The sequence below is a fragment of the Homo sapiens genome, chromosome 18 (genome assembly GCF_000001405.40).
Source record: "Homo sapiens chromosome 18, GRCh38.p14 Primary Assembly".
Lineage (NCBI taxonomy): Eukaryota > Metazoa > Chordata > Mammalia > Primates > Hominidae > Homo > Homo sapiens.
In genome coordinates, this window is record NC_000018.10 from 63122986 (window position 1) to 63138876 (window position 15891).

Genomic DNA, 15891 nt, shown 5'->3' on the forward strand with positions numbered 1-15891 from the left:
ACTTTCAGCTTATTTCCCTCTTTTTCATACACATTTCATCTTATAAAATGCAGAGGCTGGGATCTCTGGTCTATATGGAAGAACACACTCAACAGCAACAGTAGCTCTCCCAGGGAGTAGAACTCAAGACTGGTCTATCTTGTACCTAACCAGGAGGGTTATTACCAAGAAACAAGAGTCTCCTTCTAAGGTGGTTTCACCTGTAAGGCAATCCCTTAGCCTGGTCCCTGAGGGCTTCATTAGAGTAGGGTCCTGGTGATTTTACTGGCTTGTTAAGAAGGCTTTTCAAAGTCTTGTGTAATGATGATGAATGGCAGGGCAAAATCATGTTAACACATTATAAACAATTCCAGGCACAACCAGTATCTCACACTGTACTTTATTTTTCTTCACAATATTAACTAGACAGACAAGGAAAGTTTAATGGCAATGTGACTTTTTCCAACAACACAAACAAAGTGCCATTATAGCTAATGGTGGCCAACTGGAGACTTACTTTACCTTAACCATGTAAAGTATCCTTACCGTATTTTTTATGTGTACAGTGTTGCAGAATATCAGCCACCTCTTAAAAGTATCAATCTTAAAAAGAGCCATGGAAGGTAAAAGTATGAAAATCTTGATAACAAAAGCTTTCAATACAAAAACACTTATTGTACACTTATTTTTATTTAAAACAAAAATAACCCCAGTAACTCAAAACAAAAGCAAACCTTGGTTGAAAACTTAAGAAGGTATAATAAACAAAACCACCAAAAGAAAGCTTCCCCAAAAGAAATGCAATCCACTGTCACTCTTGCAAATTCTACCTTGGAGGGAAAAACTTAATGAAATGAGCTATCTGGAGGGCCCACGGCAGATTTTCCAAAAGGTTTAGGTGCATGGATTTACTCAGTATCTACACTACAGTCTTATTTATTAATAGTCTCAGAATTTTCTTGATTGAGCGAGCCTTTCCATCCTCCACCAGTGTTCCCATCTTCTGTGCTCAGCTTGGTATGCAGAACAACCTTGTTGTTGATAGGATGTTTGCTTGAAGTTATTTTTCTGGGGCAGTCCAGATGAACCGGTACAGTACCATTCATGCTCCATCTGATTTTCTTTGCATCCAGTGAGATGCATATTTCATGATTGTCCAAGGTCATGGTTGTCCAAAGACATGGAACAGAATGATTCACTGGGTAAGACTAAAGGACTTGTATTATCACTCTCCAATTCAGTTTCACATTGCTTAATTTTATAAAATTTTTTTCTGTATTGTACATAATAAACATTTAGAAACAGATGTCCCTACCAACCAGAAGGTTGTCATTAAATATCCTGTTAGTTAAAACTGCACATTTATTGTTTAAATACCCATTAGACATATCCAGCTTGAAATTTATACCATTGCACTGCCAAACGGAGCTGCACTTTGAGCCATGCTGATGTCTCTGGAATCTAAAGGTCGTACCACAAACTTCAAAATGTTTCTCATTTGTCACACAAGGTTCTTCGCAGAGGCATCACATCGACCCCAATACAGGTCCTTCATACCCTTAGTTCTGGTTATTCTGAAAACTTCCAACTCCCTGATCCAAACTTGGGAATGTTTTACATTTAAAAATTCTTCCTCCCTCCCACCCCTCCAACAAATGTCCTTTGTCCCATAATAATTTAAAAAAAAAATCCCTGAAAGATCCAAATTGAATAACAATAAAGATCTGATTGGAACCTTCATAAGCTTGACAATGTAGAATTGTATTTCTTAAAAAGTGTGTAACCACATTTGTCTGGGCTGCAAAAGACACCACAGAATAAGATCAGAATAGAATTTCAACTGACTCCCTAATTTCCTTAGAATGGCTTGTATTTCGAGCCTTTCCTGTTTTTCTCTGATAGAGTAGGTGTACATTACTAACTATAAGTGATAAGAAAGTCTAAAAACAGCCACTGCCTTAAAAGTACAGTTGGAATTAATTAGAGTTTAAGTTCACATTTATAAACTATTTGTTTTAGGATAAGTTCAATTACAAATAGAGACTATTTGCAATTCTGTTCACTCAATAGATCCTGGAGGTGAAAGCTAGACATGTGTTGGGATTGCCCTGATTATTTACATTTAATCTTGATTATTATAACTCCTCTCGATTTATAATCACTTCCTAATTTTTCCCACTGGGCCAGAGCTACATCTTTAGATGATAAGCATTTACTAATAAAACAAAGATCACATATAAATGGAAGGCCACATCTGAACACAGAGAGGTAAGTGAGCTGTGGAGAGAATGTTGGCGTCTTGTTTGAACTAAATTGAGGTGCTTCCTTAATTCTGTGACTTTATTCCAAATCTTAAGCCTGCCAGAGTTTTCTGCCCCTGCCAAATCTTCGGAGACGACCCGATGGCCATAGACCCTGTCAGCTGTCATTCTGGCCTCTCTTGCGGAGTATTTGTGCAGCGAGGGACTGGGAGGGCCGAGGAGGTTCTCAGATGTTCTTCTCCTTTTGGGGCTTTTTTTAGAGCCCTTGTCCCCAATTTGGAAAGTGCATATACTCTATTTAACTCTGACCCTGGCCAGTGTAAAGAGGAGTACATACAGAGGACTGTTTTTTCATTCATAAAGAGCAGTTAAGATGCAGATGTGAATCCCTCTTCAATACAAAATAGGGATGGTTCTCTGTTGCCCAACTGCAAAATAATTAGATATAATGAAAAAAAAGAAGAGGAGAAAAAAATGACTAGTTGAGGCTTTTATATACATTCATTGCTTCTAACATGTTTTTAACAATAAGGAAAATGCAACATCAACTACTCTTAGAGCAAGTGCAGCCACAATACTGTACAGTTCTGGGGCCAAGAGGCTGGGCACATTTACTGTTATTAAAACCAGGTAACAAAACCCCACAGCAAAAGGCAGCCAGCCAGCAATTAGCCCCCGTGACCTCTTAATATATATACATTTTTCAAATACTCTGTGAATCCCGTTTGAACAACAACAAAAGACAAAACAGGCTTTATATTAAAAACGTCCACGTTCTTCATTGTTACTTCTAAAGCAGCTTGGAGGATCTTACCACGTGGAGCATACTGCAAACTGACTCCATTAAAATGATTTTGGCAGGATAGCAGCACAGGATTGGATATTCCATATTCATCACTTTGACAATGTAAACCTTTCATAAAATAATATTTTGCTTAAAAATTAGAATCATTCAAAGGTCTGATCATTCTGTTCCCTGAGGCCCGCCGGGGAGGTCTGGCTTCATACCACAGGTTTCCTGCTTTCTTGGTGGAGCGTAAGCACCACTGCATTTCAGGAAGACCCTGAAGGACAGCCATGAGAAAGCCCCCGCGGAAGGAGGGCAGGAGGGCTCTGGGTGGGTCTGTGTTGAAACAGGCCACGTAAAGCAACTCTCTAAAGGTCAAACCACCATAGATTTGAATCTGCTGGTCATTTGCCATCTGGATTTTTAACTGAATGAATCTCATGGGTTTAACCAAACATGCATGTAATCCTGAATACCATGAATTAAATGCGGAATTGCCCAGGGACGAGGAAACCTTCAAGAAACAAGGTCAAAGGGACAACAGATATAACTGTCACAATAAACAATTCTGTTGACGTGGAAATGCACATGACTTGGTTGAAACAAAGCTCCTCAGTGGCCAGTGACATCCAGGTTTTTCTTAGGTAGCTGAGACTCAGGGCTTATCTCACCTTCTCAGAATGCTTTTGAAGAATCAAGAGATAAAAATCTCAAACAGAAAACGATCACCTTTGCTCACAAATAGTGTATAGGCCATAACTAAATACAATTAAAAACAAAAAAACGCTGAGATGCATGTATTTTTTTAAAGCAGCTTTCGAAATATCAACCACAGCATTAAACATTGAACAGAGTACATTCCAAAGTTAATACAGATAAATGGTATATAATGCAATAATGCCACAGAGTTATTCCATCAATGTTTCAAGGCTGATTCTAAACTGGAAGAAAAAAAAATTTCCTAGTTTATTTGCTGAAGATGTCACTTCTTTTGTTACTTCTTTATAGTTCCCCACCATTGATTTTTTTTTTAATGCCCCAGGATGTACAGATAACCCCCATATTCCACACCTGGAACTTTTTTTTTGTCAGGTTTTCAAATAAAACCAAACTACAGTGACAAGATAATGTTTTACATGTAATTCCATAGACAGGGGTCAATTAATCCATGACACCTCACTTCAATGCTTCTTTTAGGATTTGTGACCCTCTCCAAAGTCATTTAAAGCCTTGCTTTAAACTCACAGGTGGGCCAAGGCCACACAGCCAACGTGCCATGTGCTACAGCCAAAATGGGCCGTGGCCATTGCCTCTCCTCACGTTCCCAGCCTTCACCATGTCCTTCTGATAGGAAGGGCCCAGGGCCTCTGTTCCTTCCCTCTACAGTGATACATGTCTTAAGAAGGGTCGTGGCTCCCATGCTCCACGTGAAAACGGGCCTACCTGGAGGGCCCCAGGGTGACAGGCCCAGCCACACCCCTCTACTGCTCTTTCTTGACAGTGGAATTCTGAGCTCCATCAGCTTCCAGACATTCGGAGACCACACTGCCCTGTTGATCATCCCTGGAGGAGGCCAGTGAGGGCCCCGGCTCAGTTCCAGGACCAGGCCTCCAAGCTGGGACACAGGCAGGTTCTGCGGACTTCGGTCTCCTAAAAGCAGGCACTTGTGGCGGCCTGATGCTCTGGGTAACTCTAGCCTTCCTGATGCGGAAGTCACCGAAATGTTCACTTCCTCAAGTTCCAGAGGATTCTGTTTCTTACTCAGACAGAGCCAGTATTGGGAGTTGGGGGGTGCGTATCCAAAATATATGAATATACACAATCAGGGCTTAAGGTACTGGATGATATTGTATAAATTGCTAAAATGCTTTTCTCGGCACAATTGGTAGCTTAAAAAAATACTTTCCTATGATTTAAGGGCATTTTTCCCATCGCTGTCCTTCGGCGTGGAAATCTCAGTGGGTACTAGGTCCATCTGAAGTTCCCAACTCTTTTCCTCCCACCAGGTATGCATCATGTGAGTCATATGCAAAGAGTCTCTTCTTCAGGCCAGGGAGGCATGGACTTCCCCCCACAGGAACCCTCCCTCTGTTAATATCACAGCCCCCAGGGCAAAGAAATGCAAGTGAATGAACACCTTCTCCCCAGCCTCCAGCAGCCAGAAAGCCAGCTTCCCCAATGATCAGGTCCTTTTTCCATCCGTCTGCTCTTCAGATGGTGATCCGGCCAACAACATGGAAAGCGAATCTATGTTTACAGGCACAGAACATCCAGGTGGAGCCACACGAAGCGGTGCTTGGCAATTAGTGGTCGGATTTCCAAAGACAGGAGTTTTGATGGGACTGTCTTAAATAAATAAATCTTTTTTTCTTAATAATGTAAAAAATAAATGATATTTCCCTTTGGCAGTAAATAGCTGATTCGACGTTTTGCCTGAAGACTGTTAATTGTTGTGTGTGTGTGTGTCTGTCTGTGTGTGTGATGTTTATATGTGTGTTATTTTTTCTTAAACAGCCTGCAGCTTTGTTTCATGGTACATCACTGACAATGCATATTATTTCTACTGCTTTAGTGAACCTTTTGCATATTTGTTTGGGGCAGGCATGTTGACTTCACTTGTGGCCCAGATAGGCACCCAGGGTGATGCAAGCTCCCACCAGGGCCAAACTGAGCAGAGTCTTCAGAGACAGCCAGGAGAAATCAAACAGAGGCCGCATGCTGGGGCCGTACAGTTCCACAAAGGCATCCTGCAGTTGGGGGAGAGGAGGGAAGAAAAAGAAAGAGTATTAGAGAGAGAGCAGAGAATGCCACCCCACAGAGAAAGAGGCATCCTGCCAGGGCAGCCTGGGCACCTTCAGAAGGGTGAGAGGGGAAAAGGCAAATGCTCTTTGGAGGCCATGATTCAGAAACCACTGTTTTCATTAATTCAAGGCATATTTATTGAGACCCTCTTTACGTGCCAGCCATCTTAGAGATACAGCAGTGCATAAAATAGACTAAAAGTTCCTACTTCACGAAGCTTCCATTGAGTGGAACAGTATAGACAGCAATCAATATAAATTATCACATGGTGTAGGAGAGAGTGCTAAGGGCCGAGGAGAAAAACAGCAGAGGCAGTTAGAAAATATTAGAGGTTTTGCAATTTTAGCTAGCATGCCCATCCATAAAAGTAATAAAATCTAGCAATGATGATGACCGTCACACTCCTCGATTGAGTGTTGACATCTTATCAAATGTCTGACATGCATTATTTTAGTCTTTGTACCAAACTTTTTCTTTCTTTTTTTTTTTTTAGAGACAAGAGTCTTGCTCTGTTGCCCAGGCTGCAGTGCAGTGGTGCAATCATGACCCACTGCAGCCTCGAACTGTTGGACTCAAGAGTGATCCTCCTGCCTCCGCCTCCTGAGTACCTAGGATTACCATGCTTGGCTAATTTTTAAATTTTTTGTAGAGATAGGGTCTTACTATACTTTCCAGGCTGGTCTTGAACTCCTGGGCTCAAGTGAGTCTCCTGCCTCAGCCTCCCAAAGTTCTGGGATTAAAGGCATGCGCTTTCTCATCCAGCTAATTCTTTGTACCAATCTTATGAAGTTATTTTATTTGTTTCTGTTCTGAAGATGAAAAAGCTGAGAATCGCAGGGAATAAGAGACTTTTTAACAAGTGGCAGAGCCAGGCTTTGAACCCAGATAGAAACCAGCACCCTTCTCTCTGCTGATGCCCTGGCGTGGCTAACGGCAGCTCTATGAGAGCATTTGGTCAGTCAAGGGCTCAGTCAGTGGAGGGGCCAAGGGCGGCCTTGACTGGTGCAGTGCCAACCTCTAAGGTCAAGGTTCTCCTGGGGAAAGGGAGCTGTCAGGGGGTTTCTCTTGGGGGTGGCTAGACTGGACGACCACAACTCTGCATTTACTCAAATTGTGGATCTCACAAGGCAGGAGATCAGGGGTGTGTCACTGGATGTGCAGGTCCCTGAGAGACAAAAAGTGTCTCCCTTCCATTCCTATCTCTCCATCTCAAGTCGGGTCTGTAGTGTGTTGTAGCAAAGTCTACCCTCTGGATGGGCTTGGATTGAGCAAATCACCAATTGCTCATTTCCTAGATTTTGGGGAGATTATGTTTCACATTTGGGTCCAATGAGTATTTGGACAACTTTCTGAATGAATATTTGAATATATAAATCAGTAAATGAATTCTTTTTACTTCTGATTTATTCAGGATGAAGAAGAAAACAAGAATAGTTTCACATTATTCCCAACAACCCTGACTCAAAGCACACAGTTTTATTACAGGAAACAGTAACATACCATGACCCTGGACATCGCTGTTGGGAGGGGCTCCAACAGTGCACAGAGGGGTTCCCTTTCTCTGGGGCAAGGGCTGTAGCAGTGGGACCAGGGATTCTCTTTGTCTCCCTCATGCTGGGCATGGTTGTGGTGCACTATAGGTGCGTAGTAAATGTTTGTTCACTTAAGCTTTCTGAATACAATCATTGGTCTTTGGCTTAATGCTTTACCCAAATGCTTATGAATCTGTTTGAAATTACTCCTTCTATATGTAACAGCCTCTGAGAATCCTGAGGTAGTCTTGATGAGGATTTAAAGCATTGTTAGGGTAACTTTCCACATTATTAAATATAGATTTATACAATTATTTTCATGATATATAAAATGTGCCATACTTTAAAAAATTCATGTTTATAGTGTTTAAAACTTTTGCTATTATAAACAATATCATGATATATTTTTGTATATAAATTCTTGTCTATTTGTTCAGTTGCTTTTTTGAAACAAACTCCTAGAAGTGACCTCAGTTAACCAGTCATCAATATTGCTTCCAGACATCATGAAGGGCTTGCCTTGAGCCATCCTCACATTCTCATGGATTGCCCTCCAACCAATGCCACCTTTTACAAAAGGCAGGCAAGAATTTAGGGCGAGGGTCACACTGAGAGTGATCCTGTCCCCCAGGGGACATTTGGCAATGTTTGGAAGCATTTTTAGTGGTCATGATTTGGGGTGAGGGTGCTACTGGTATCTAGTGGGCAGAGGCCGCGGATGCTGTTCAACATCCCACAATGCACAGGGCAGCCCCCCAATGCTAACAGGGCCGAGGCTGAGAAACTCTGGTTTATAAGATGCTCTGTAATCACAGACCATAGAAGAACAGATGACCCATCCTGTGTGTCAACAGCATTGGTCAAATCAGCACAATCAGCTAGCCCAGACCAGCGACTGCTAACCCAGTGGGCCTTCTGCATCTTTGGAGGTCCTTGGTTAACTTTTACCAGGAGAGGGCGCAAGGGCTTTCTTCTTCTTTTTAAATATCTATTGTTAAACATTTCTAAATTTCAGTGTTAGAAAAGCGAGGCAATAGACGTACATAAAATGTGTGTTTAGTGCTCTTAGCACAGAGCTAAGGCACAATCATGATTGTCTGCCAAGATGCACACCCCTCTCCATATAAGCAGGGATCAGTGGGGCAGGAAGGAGTCAGGACTTCTCCACAAGCCAGAACTCTGCCTCTTCCAGGGAGCAACCCAAGACATCACAGACACGGCTGCAAATGTCAACTAGTCCTCCCATCCATGCTTCTCTCTCTGAGGGATGGGTAGGCTGAAACCCCCAATAGCCCAGCCAAAAGACACCCCAAATTTGTCAGGGCACTGGCAATAGGTTGTCTGCAATTTGGCTTGACATTGAGAAGGTCAGTGGCCGGGCTCTGAATCCCTTTAGTAATCAACAGAGTTTTGTGTGGCAAAATCTGAACCAGACTAAGCCCCTGATCATTTGTCCTGTCTGGACCTGAAGCCATCCTGGGAAACCGGAGGATGCAGGGACATACTCCAGCTGGCATTTTCTCCCAGTTGGTCTGGCACACAGTGCTGGAGAGCAGAAGAAATGCTGTCCCAAATATCCCCACCTCCTCAGAGCTGGAATAATTCCCTCTCACCACCCTCACCCCCACACAAATAACAGTGCTTCTCATGAACCTAACAGGCCATTTCTGATATGCATTACGTAGAACAATGTCATTTCTAGAGTGAGATGAGCTAAACTAGCAGCTCTTGGCCCAAAGCCTCAGCATAGAGATGCTGTTGCCATCCCAGGGGGCTGAGAAGGGCATGGGACTTGGAGGAGGAGTGTGGGTGAACCCTGGCTTTGATATTTTATTAGTTTATAACCTTCAGCAGATAACCCAGCCCCGAGCCTCATTTACTTCATCCATAGCCATAAAATTCATTATTGTGAAGATTAACGTAGGTCACTCAAAGCCATTTGTAAATTGGATACAGAAAGTGAGCTCGTGGCAGAACAAACACCTTGCTCTTGTCTGTCCTCTTGCAGACCTGCTCCGCACCTACTCAACCTGCCCTTCCCCCAAGAAGTTCTGCTGAGCCTGCCGTTTTGCAGAAGCAATTTCCTCTCTTAGCTTTCTGATCTGAGGATAGTCCGTAATTTCTATAGGAATTATGAATTAAAATGTATACATCCCGTGTTCTGGTCAAAGATGGGAAGTGATAATACAATGCCTACCTATCTGTCCTTCTTTACACATTATTAGAGTGTAGGGCTAGAGGGCAAGTCATTTAACCCCCTGGAGGTTGGAGCTGGCCTCTAAACTTTGCCCTTCTACAATTCCAAAGTGCAAAGGAGACCCTGCGGCTTCGGGACTAAAATGACCTGAAAGCTTCTTTCGTAGAAAGTCTTCCTGATTTTTCAAACATCCTGATTGGGGCGATTTCCGAAGTCTGTTTGAACAGTCTGTCATTATTTGTTTGAGTTTGAAAGCTGTTTTAAATAAACACATGCTCATTTTATGTATTAAAAGCAACAAAGAGGGAAAAAGAAAACCTGGGTCGTCATGTGATTCGGACAAAATCCCAGTCTATATATTTAGGAAGCTCTGTGTCCCTTGCTCATGTCAGGACTGGCAAGGGCTTACCCGACTTCACGGATCACAGGTTCACACGGAAAGGCTGGCACCGGCTCCTCCTATGAGGAGGAGATGGGCAGGGCCTCAGCTCTGGTGGCTCTGTCCACAGTGGCTTCCCCATAAATTTCCAATTCAGAGGCCACAGAGGATCTGAGTTCCACCCAGGGCTGGCCCAAGGGGACAGGATGGCTAAACTCCCAGCCGCAGCCTTGCTGCAGGTTTGGAACCAGGCCAGGTAGGTGTGGACGGGAACAGACCAGGGTCAAGACTCCTAAACTCAGCAAAGGTGTCCTCACCCCTCCGGGCCATGGAGCACTCCCACCTGGGAGGCAGCCATCCTCCAACATTTTCCTTTTCCGTTCAGAACCTTCAAGAATTTTTTTTTTTTTTTTTTTTTGAGATGGAGCCACTGTCACTCAGGCTGGAGTGCAGTGGCTCCCAGGTTCAAGCAATTCTTCTGCCTCAGCCTCCCGTGTAACTGGGACTACAGGTACCCTCTACTACGCCCGGCTAATTTTTGTATTTTTAGTAGAGAAAGGGTTTCATGTTGGCCAGGCTGGATTCAAACTCCTGGCCTCAAGTGATCCTCCCACCTTGGCCTCCCAAAGTGCTGGGATTACAGGCATGAGCCACCACCCCTGGTCCACTTCGAGAAATTTCACGTAAACCTAAAATGAGAATTTTTTTTAAAAAAGGTCAGATTGTCAAGAATGGAAGAGAAGGTTAATTCTAAGTGCTGAAAAGAATGGCATGCGGTTGGGGATATGGGCGGGGGTCCCAAAATAACCCTTATGCCCAGGTAAAGGTAAACATGGAGACCTTTTGAATTTGGTAATGCATATCAAAAGGCTTTTAAAAAGCTTTTGTTAGTAATTTCACTTCCAGTTATTTATTTTGGAAAAATAATAAAGTGCACAGATTATGTATAATAGCATAAACCTGGAAACAAATGTCTGAAAATAGATGACTGACAGCGCGTCCACATGATGGAGTGCTGTTCAGCATTAAAAGTCATACCCTATAGTTATTGGCAAGAAATTGTGTTCCTAAGGTCATATTGAGTAAAGCAGGACAAAACGGTCAGCAAAACACGATTCCACTTCTGTAAAAACCTAACATATACATGTGCGCGTTTACAAACAGAAAAAAATAATATAAAGGAAAACGCAAAGATGTTAACAGTGATTATCGTTGAAGGCAGAAGTAGGCATGAGGACATGGCATTTAAGAGGCTATTCTGATTTTTTTCCTTAGCTGTCTTTTCTAATTCAATACAAACATGTATATTACTATTTATGAAATATATTTCAATATATACTACATAGAATAATGTTACATTCTAAGTGCTTACTTAATCTGAAAAAAATCCAGACTCCATAATTTGACAGACAAAAATGCTGGGAGATGATGTCTAGTAGTGGGGAGACATGGGCTCCCAGGCAGCAGCCATGACCTAGAACCATGCAACAGGCCCCCGGTTAAGTGAGGGCCTCCTTAGACCCTGGCCCAGAAGAACTCTCATGAGCTCTGCCCCTCAGACCAATGCCTGCAATAAGAGGTTCAGGCCCCGAGCTCAGTGTGTGTTCTCAGCTCTCTATATACTGGGGAAATTTAATATGGCTTGGCTGGCTATAAGCAAATTCGAAATTCAGCTACATTCCACAGTCTTTGAGCTGACTATGCATGCAGACGTTATACAATCGAAGGGAATTCTAAGGGAGAAAAGCCACCCTGTCCCCAAAGAGCTTACACTCTAGAGAGAGGTAATGCCTCTATGTGCACATTTGAACTAAACTAAATCAATGGGTGCCGCCATTTTGTTCCTGCAGACTGCAGAGTCTCATCGGCAGTAAGAAGAAAGTAAAAAGAAAATCAGACCATGCCAATGGGAAATCAAACACAGCTATCGAATGACTTTGATATTTTCTATTTTTCATGAGTTTATAATTTTGTCTCCATGGGGACCTCTGGGGATCTCTTCTCTCATGACAACTTTAGGGTTAGGAAGAAAAAAGGAAAGGGAGAATCACTGTAACAGAAAACTCTGGGCTGGAAGGAACCTCAAAGTATGTTCAGATTCCCTGAATTGGTTTAATAATGTCTAATAAAGATATTAGCTCTTTTTTTAAATAGGTGAGGTGAGTGAAACTTTGACAGGTAAAGCAAATTCCTTACAGTGTGTATTCATAAGGAAATTCGTGGTGGACAGGAGCGTGAAGGCTGGGTTTCACCTGCCTCCTGCATGTCACTGGTTAGAATGCTGGCAAGCAGCTGGTTCTTCTCTCTACCCAGGGAACCTCCTCCCTGCCTCCCTCAACTTGCTTCCTCCCATCCCGACCTTCCTCTCTGCCCCAACTTGGACTCCAGCCCAAAACAAGTCTCATCTGGGCTTCCAAGTGGTGCTGAAGAAAGTTACCCAACCTTGCAGGCAGGTGCTGCTGGAAATTCATGGTCTCTAAACTCAGTGAGTTCTGACACCACCTAGCAATTCTTTATTCTTTGTCAGATCTTTTCTGTTCCTTTTGATGACTGTTCCCAACAGCCACCACTTGTCTCACACATCTTCCTCACCTTTTGGCAGTGAACACTGCCTTTTACTTCTCTGAGAAAACTGGGATCATTGGGCAAGAATTACCACAGCTTTCCACCCTGGCCCATGCACAAATGTCCATTTCTGCCTGTCCTTCCCTGCTCCTCTCCACACTTCACCCTGATTCCACCATCTCCCATTGCTTCAGGAACCTTCCTCCGTCAATTGTCCCTGCTCTCAATTACAATTTCAATCGCATCCTTCCTTTCTGACCTCAGGTATCCTCAAAATGTCTGTGCTGATGCGTGCTCCACCCTAACCATTATCTTCTCTGTCTCTGCCCTCCTAGAAAAGCTGCCAAGCCACACTCATTGGCTCACTTCCCACCCACATTTGAACCCATTCAGTCTGGCTTCTTCCTATACTGTGCCTCTGAAACCACCCCCACAGAGACCACCAATACCCTCCATGTGGCTAAATTCACTGGGTGTGAGGTTGTATCTTAGTAGGTGCTCTGATGCCCCGGACACCAAGACCACTGAGGGTCTTCCGTGACTCTGCTCCCTTTGGGCTACCTCCTTCCTCCTGAAGAATTTCCTCTCTGTCTCCCTCAGGGGCACCTCCTCCCTGGCCTATTCTGATAAGTTCTCGATGCTGCCCATCAGGCTTCTGTCTGGACATTTTCTTTTCTCTCTTTGACCAATCTCTTTCACTCTCTTGGTCTTATATACCACCCCTATGATAATGTTCCTAACATCTTTATATCCAGTCTCACTTTCTCCCCTAACTGGCAAATACTTATTCCAATTGCTTTCTAAGACATCCCCTAGGGAGTTCGATCAACCTGCCCCAAACTCAAGCTATCATCACTCCCTCCATCAAGCCTCCCTCTCTTCCTGTCTTCAACCTGGCTATGGCATCAAGTAAACCTACAGCCTCAGAGTCTCCTAGATGTTTTTCTCTTCCTCATGCCCCATATTCATTCAACAGTAAATCCCATGGCCATAGGTTAGACTCCCTTAGAAACAGACCCTAAGACAAAGATTTGAGTGCAAGTGGTTTATTTGGGAGATGATGCTAGGAACTCTAAGGGGAGCAGGGAAGGGAGAGAAAAAAAGGAAAAGACTCATGCATGAGTTACCTCATCAAGCAAGTTATTGCTACCGGCAAACAGAGCTTACTCCTGCCAGGGAAATCTGAGGGCCGGTGTAGACCATGCATCTCTTGTTAACCCACTGAGGGACTAGGGAGCTGGGGTATTTATACACCAACTCCTGCTATTCATTGGTTGAAGGTTGCTCCTATGGAATGTCAATACCCCAGCACTCCTAGCTGGCCATGTCACAGGTGAAGTACCAATCAAGGAAATAGATACAGATGCCACATCTCTTATAGCTGGAGGTGAAGTTAGTGAGCACTGAAGTGGTAAAGGCCAGGGGACAGGACAGAACAGGGCAGTAGATGCACTGCCAATTTTACCACCTGAACACTTCTCTCTCCCTTTACCTTCTCTCCCCAGGATCACTGCTGTGATTTCCAGTCTGATCTCTCTGCCTCTGTCTGAGTCTTGTGCTTTGCCTGTAAATCTCTTCTGTGTACTGCAGCCAGAGTGATCCATTCAGAATCAAATCTGTTGCTTCCATGCTTAAGTCTAAGGTTCCCAATGCTCTGGCTCCAACCTAGTTCTCCTGCTCAGCTTGTCACTCTTAAGTCAACTTTGGTTCATTCAGAGATTCAGCTCAATCATTTTCTGCAAGCAACTTTCTCCAAATCCCTAGGTTGAGCTAAATAATCCTCGGCTGTTCCCTGTTCACAGTATTATACGAAGATCATCTGTTTACATGTCTGCCTTCCCCATTCAACTATTAGCACCTGGAGGTGCAGGACCATGTTTTATTTATCTTTGGATCCCTGGAGCATGTGTCTGTCATACGTTAGGAACTCAGCAAATGTTTGTGGAGCTGAAACAAACTGATTTGTTTTACTATATGGCAGATTTTTCAAACATCCTAATAGATAATATTTTTTTAAAAGGGGAGTATTCAGAGACCAAATAAAGGACTGGCTTAGATAAAATTCAGTGCTTTTTTTTTCTTTCAGCAGCAGCCTCTAGTGTCCTCCTCCCAGGGACTGATGGTTAGCCGGTTCCCAAGGACACAGAGGGATCTGACTGGTCAGTGTCCCTGCTATATTGGTTAGTAAATATTATCACCCCCACTCACAGGTGCTTGATTCTCCAAGAAAGGGAGTAGCATTTTCCAAACTCATTTGGCCCCTAACCCCTCTGTCAAGGAGACTGCTGCTATGTTTGGAGTATTAGGAAGACAAACTTTGACAAGTGCTGCCTAAGAGGGTGAAAGGACAATAGCAGGGCATTGGCAAGAGGGGCAGCATTGGTGCCTGTGGTGCAGGGCAGGGGAGACGACCAGAGGTCAAAGGCTGTTTCTAGACATCTATGCAAACGTAGAGACCACTGGGTATGTCCTGATCCTAGATTCCACCAAGAGGGCTGGAGACTCATTGGCAATACTATCTGTGACTACTGCGGCCACACAGAATCTATGACATGCAACCGTCAGGTGAGAGAGAACGCCAGGAGAAAGAGAAAGGACATGAAGGAGGAAGTGGGGTAGACAGACACTTGTCTTGCAGAAAGAGCGCTCCATGAAGCCAAGCAAGATTCTCCTGACACCAGAGTTGGCTCAGAGCAAGAGGGGGAGCAAGCCGCACTGGCGGCTGGGAGTGGTGGCCGGCAGAGCACACGCAAGGAAGTGAGGACTTTTTTCTACCTGAATAAAGCAGCTGGTGAGGAAGTGACTCCATTTCCCCCCTTATCATCGGCTCGGCAGGATTTCCTCCACAGCCACATTGTGCTGAATGAGTCTAGAGGGTTCCGTCTGCAGAGCAGTGTGGCTTTGGCAGCTGCATGCTTGCTTCTGTCCCCTGTGACTCTTCCTCCCGCACCCTCCCTTTACTCCCAAAATATTGTTTCCGGGTTTGGGGGAAAAGGAAAGGGAAAAAAATAACCCTTGAGCATATAACTGAAGGACACACAGCTGCCTGGGCCGGAGATGGTGAAGAGGCACGGGAGCGTGAGAAGCACAAGGATTTGCCTTCCTCCAGGCTGGCGAAGGCTGCTCCCCAAAGCCATCTCCAGTGCCTGGGGGTTGATCTTGGAGGAACTCTGGGTCCAGGGGGAGGGGCTGGTTGAAACATGGGCCAATGACATTCGTGAAACCTAATCTCCATGTCATTTGGATGTAACAAGAAACCTGCTGGAGACATGGCAGGAGATGAAAAACCCAAACAAAACAAAAACAAAACTTGCCCGCTTACCACAGTTGGTCCAGGGAAGTTCTGGTGTGTTCTGTTATGCAAATTTAGCTAAGAATGCAAATCAGGC

At 43.9% G+C, this 15891-nt stretch overlaps 1 protein-coding gene across 2 annotated transcripts in view, besides 2 other annotated features; it reads right to left on the reverse strand.

Moving 5' to 3' along the window:
* The window catches only part of BCL2 (BCL2 apoptosis regulator), a 196745-nt gene continuing 181214 nt past the window's right edge, over positions 361-15891 (reverse strand). For both annotated transcript variants that reach the window (XM_047437733.1, NM_000633.3), the window contains one exon: positions 361-5774. In XM_047437733.1, the coding sequence (XP_047293689.1) occupies positions 5640-5774 (135 nt within the window). In that variant the 3' untranslated portion in view covers positions 361-5639. The remainder of the gene's footprint in view (positions 5775-15891) is intronic.
* Positions 14808-15674: an enhancer, noted in NCBI's record as "H3K27ac hESC enhancer chr18:60805026-60805892 (GRCh37/hg19 assembly coordinates)". NCBI's record gives its function as "activates a minimal SCP1, AML or CMV promoter by ChIP-STARR-seq in naive H9 embryonic stem cells {active_cell/tissue: H9 hESC(naive)}" and the evidence as "EXISTENCE:reporter gene assay evidence [ECO:0000049][PMID:30033119]".
* Positions 15616-15665: an enhancer, noted in NCBI's record as "active region_13447". NCBI's record gives its function as "activates an Ori minimal core promoter by ATAC-STARR-seq in GM12878 lymphoblastoid cells {active_cell/tissue: GM12878}" and the evidence as "EXISTENCE:reporter gene assay evidence [ECO:0000049][PMID:35858748]".